This window comes from Homo sapiens, chromosome 9, assembly GCF_000001405.40.
Source record: "Homo sapiens chromosome 9, GRCh38.p14 Primary Assembly".
NCBI classification, from domain to species: domain Eukaryota; kingdom Metazoa; phylum Chordata; class Mammalia; order Primates; family Hominidae; genus Homo; species Homo sapiens.
This window is the reverse complement of record NC_000009.12, coordinates 71,551,324-71,555,476: the sequence shown is the minus strand read 5'-3', so window position 1 is coordinate 71,555,476 and position 4,153 is coordinate 71,551,324. Positions and strand designations below refer to the sequence as shown.

The 4,153-nt window shown below is 39.6% G+C and overlaps 2 annotated features.

The window, feature by feature from the left end:
• Positions 2,264 to 2,764: an enhancer, noted in NCBI's record as "H3K4me1 hESC enhancer chr9:74167629-74168129 (GRCh37/hg19 assembly coordinates)". NCBI's record gives its function as "activates a minimal SCP1, AML or CMV promoter by ChIP-STARR-seq in primed H9 embryonic stem cells {active_cell/tissue: H9 hESC(primed)}" and the evidence as "EXISTENCE:reporter gene assay evidence [ECO:0000049][PMID:30033119]".
• Positions 2,765 to 3,265: an enhancer, noted in NCBI's record as "H3K4me1 hESC enhancer chr9:74167128-74167628 (GRCh37/hg19 assembly coordinates)". NCBI's record gives its function as "activates a minimal SCP1, AML or CMV promoter by ChIP-STARR-seq in primed H9 embryonic stem cells {active_cell/tissue: H9 hESC(primed)}" and the evidence as "EXISTENCE:reporter gene assay evidence [ECO:0000049][PMID:30033119]".

Here is a 4,153-nt window from a genome sequence, read left to right as displayed (position 1 = left end):
AGTGATAGCTAAGATGCCATTAACTTCTTCCTCTACTTCTCACCAGCAGCCTGAGAAGTTATTAATCCCTTATTTACGTATATGAAAGAGGGAATCAGAAGGCTTCATTGACTGCCAAAGTTCATAAAGCTAAACCCAGATCTCAAATTTCAGGTTTTTATCACAAGTGCTGCTAAACAGGTGTTTTCTTATCTACTTCCAAAACCCAACACTCACCCATGGGTGAGCATGGATGGGCATAAAGCTGCTCAGGTCACACAGTGAAATTTTCCTTTATTTGCCATTTTTTCCATCTCTGATGCCCTCTCCTCTCTGTGTGGCTAAATCCTACCCGTTTCTGAAAGCATTTGGGTTCCTCAGCATGGCATCAAAAAAAGACTTGTCCCTTCTGTTTCAAGCAAAATAGCCTGATCCTTAAGCTAGACCATGGCCAAGGTTTTCTTGACCTGAGTACTAAAAACAACAACAACAACAACAACCCAGGATGAATAGAAGGGCCCTACATGAATAAGAAGGCTACTACAATGAAAACAAACAAAAACAGAAAAAGAACCAAAATATAAGGTGCAACCGCTGAACAGAAATAATTGACACAACTAGTCTTTTAGCTTTGGCTTTTAAGAAGTGGTAGGACTATTGCACATATATGTCTGTGGTTTTTTGTTTTCTTAAATAATATTTGTGGTAGACAATTCTAAGATGACCTCCAATGAGTGATGGACTTGAATAATCCCATCCCCTTGAATCCGAGCAAAAATTCTGACTTGCTTCTAGTCATTGGAATATGGTAAAGGTAAGAGATAGTCACACCCATGACTCAATTATGATATATGACTTTTTTTTTAGCAGACTGGAGAGAGAGAGAGATTCTCTGTTCTATAGGAAATAAGCTGCCATGTAGTGAGAGGGTCACACAGCAAGGATATATGGGTGGCCTCTAGGAACTGAGAATGTTACCTGCTGACAGCCAGCAAGAAAAATGACATCAGTCGTACAATCTCAAGGATCTAAATTCTGCCAACAGCCACAAGGGGTTTGGAGAAGACCTTGAGTTCCAGAAAGGAATGCTGTCTGACCAATACCTTGATTGCAGCCTTGTGAGACTCTAAGCAGAGGGTCCAGGTAGGCCATGCCTGGCCTCTTGACCCATGGAAACTGTGAGATAAGCCACTTATCTTTTAAGCCACTAAGTTTATTATAAAAGAAGCATAATATTTAGTAAGCACAAAGCATGAGGTCATAGGAAGAACACAGTTCTGGAACATAGGAGACATAGGTTCACTCCTTTTGTCCCAGTGACTTGCTATGGAGCATCAAGCAAGTCCCTCAGCCTTTGGGAGATTCGGTGACCTGGTATGTGAAATGTGGGCCTTTTAAAGATCTCTTTATGGTCTTGCTACTACAATCATTTGACTAATGTTGAAATGAATTGCTATAGGATTGTTAGCCATACCAAATATACTGCATATTATTGCCATATGCTTTAATCTGGTCTACTCTTGATTTTTTGTCATCGTTCTCCCAACGTTCCAAGTTTAAAAATAGTTCATTAAAATCAGCCTTCTTGGATTTTGATTTGAGAAGGCAGGAAGAGGTCTAAGGATCAGTTCAGAAGGTGCTTAAGAAAAATTGTGTGGTGATCTGGCCAGGCGAGGTGGCTCATGGCTGTAATCCCAGCAGTTTGGGAGGCCGAGGAGGGCGGATCACCTGAGGTCAGCAGTTGAAGACAAACCTGGCCAACATGGTGAAACCCTGTCTCTACTAAAAATACAAAAAGTAGCCTGGCATGGTGGTGGGTGCCTGTAATCCCAGCTACTCGGGAGGCTGAGGCAGGACAATCACTTTGCTTGAACCCGGGAGGCAGAGGCTGCAGTGAGCCAAGATCACGTCATTGCACTCCAGCCTGGGCAAGATAGAGTGAAACTCTGTTTAAAAAAAAAAAAAAAAAGATGGGAATTTTATTTTCTTAGAAATGTGAAAGACGAGTTAGATGGGATTCCTTCCCCTATTTCTGGAGCATTACATAATGGAGGGAAACGAGCAAACTCTTGGCATCTCTGGAGAGAACTGAGCACACTCCCAAGGTAAGATTTTTACGTCAGAAGGCAGCACCTTCTCATCACCATCAGGATGCTGGGGGTTCAGCTGATTCACCTTAACGGTGTGCACTTACTTATGCATAAACAAGTGAAGTGAACAATGATGAAGCCACCAGCTGTTTTATTGTGTTTTGTCATTATTATGAACCATCATATTTCATTTTTAGTGCAAGTAATGAGCCTTGGTGAGGCAAAGCTCCATGCTGTGCAGGGTAAATGGTATATTCCCTCCTGATCCCGCAAGGCGCTGTCAACAAAGGAGACTTTGGCTATAAATAGGAGCTGGGTCAGGAAACATTTTCTGCAAGTATTAATAATCAATGCACTACACAGACAGTATAAGGTAAGGGTTGGGGTAATTATTATCCAGTTAGGAAAATCAATGAAATCCTGAGGAAACCAAGAGGTGATTTCCTTTGCTTTCGGTGGCAGTTGGTGTGACCGGATGGAGGGTTCTTTATTAATTTAATTTCTCCCCCTTGCACTGATTTAGCTCCACAGTTGACACAGGCACTGGCGCTTACTCTAAGAGTCAGTCCTTGGAGCACAGGGGTTAGCTGTCATTTGCAAACTCACCACCTACTGGAAGCAAAGCTAGAAGACGGGGCTGCCAAAGCCAACCACTGCAACCTGTGGCAGGCTTCCCTGCCCAGGCTCTCCCACTGCCCTTGGAGTGAGACCCCTCCCCCTCAATCCTGCACAGCGACGTGGCTGGCTGGAGCTTTCCCCGCACCTGTCGCACCTCCTGGTTTTGGCAGAATGAAGTGAGGAGACAGCTGGAGTCATTATAGTTCATCTGTTTGAAGGTTGCCCAAATGAAAAACAAACAAACAAATCTGGTGAGTTTCGTGTTTCTTTTAAGTGTACAGAAATGCAGCTGCTAAGTTGTGTAGGAGATCAAAGGAGCCTTTTAAATTCAAGACACCAAAGTGTTCTTGCTGGTTTGATCCTTGGTGGAGATTTGTTAGCAAACTTTAGAAGGAAGTTACAAAAGAGGATTAGGTGTATTAAACTTGTCTGAGCTGTGGAAAGTTCTTTGTAAAGCTCATTGTGTGTTCATTGCAGATTTCTGTGGAGAATGTGATAGTGTAGTGAGCCCAGAGGTTGTGTTTTGGGTGATTGGACTCAAGTGCAAAGTAGAAAAACATTTCTTTAATACAGAAATAAGGCACTATGACTATTGCCTATAAATTGTCTATTAGAGAGAAAGAAATATATTCTGAAGCATTCAATAATTTCAGTACTTTGAGTAAAATGAAATTTAACCTTAGCTCCCAAGTTTGAAGTTGTCTCTTAAAAACATCAAGGCATTATGTAGCTAAAATAACTGGCATATTATTTTCAGTGTACATTGCAATATTTTAAATAGCTTACACTTCAAATAATCGGGGCAAACAAAATGTGTATTTATTATTTTCTATTGGTGCCTTAGCAGTTGTTAATTTTCTTAGCATTTTACTAGTAAAATTAATTTTCATTGTGGGTTACAATAAAAAATAGTGTTTTAATATTAAAATTTTCTGAACATAAAAATCTTAAACATATATTTAAAGTCACAATTTCAGTTTTATTTTGGTCAGAATTGGTTAATACGCTGGTTTGTAAATGGTGTGTACTTTATAGTCATCTTCTTTACTTTGAACATGTTTTAAATGACTTTGATCCATCTCACTCCTCTACTTAGTAGCAGAAAAGTTTAAAACGCTATGTAAATAGAACTAAAGCAAATGTGCTCACTAATATATTTTTGTTGTATTGTTGTTTATAATTTTTGTATTTGTGATAAAATCTATTTTGGTTATTCTGAGATTTTTTTCCCCCTATTTGTTCTCCAGATTCAATTAGTTGCTTTCAGCTAACTCCTTTTTTTTTGTCCTGGCTACAATAATGTATCTAAAAAATTATTTTTCATCTGGGATTGTTTTAATCCACAACTTTGAGAACTGTTTAATACTTAGTTATTTAGTCAAGTTTGAATCTTATTTTGACAGCATTTAAGGGGCTTAGGAGGGGGAAAGAGAAACTGAGTGTGGAAGAGGCTCTTGAATTAAAAA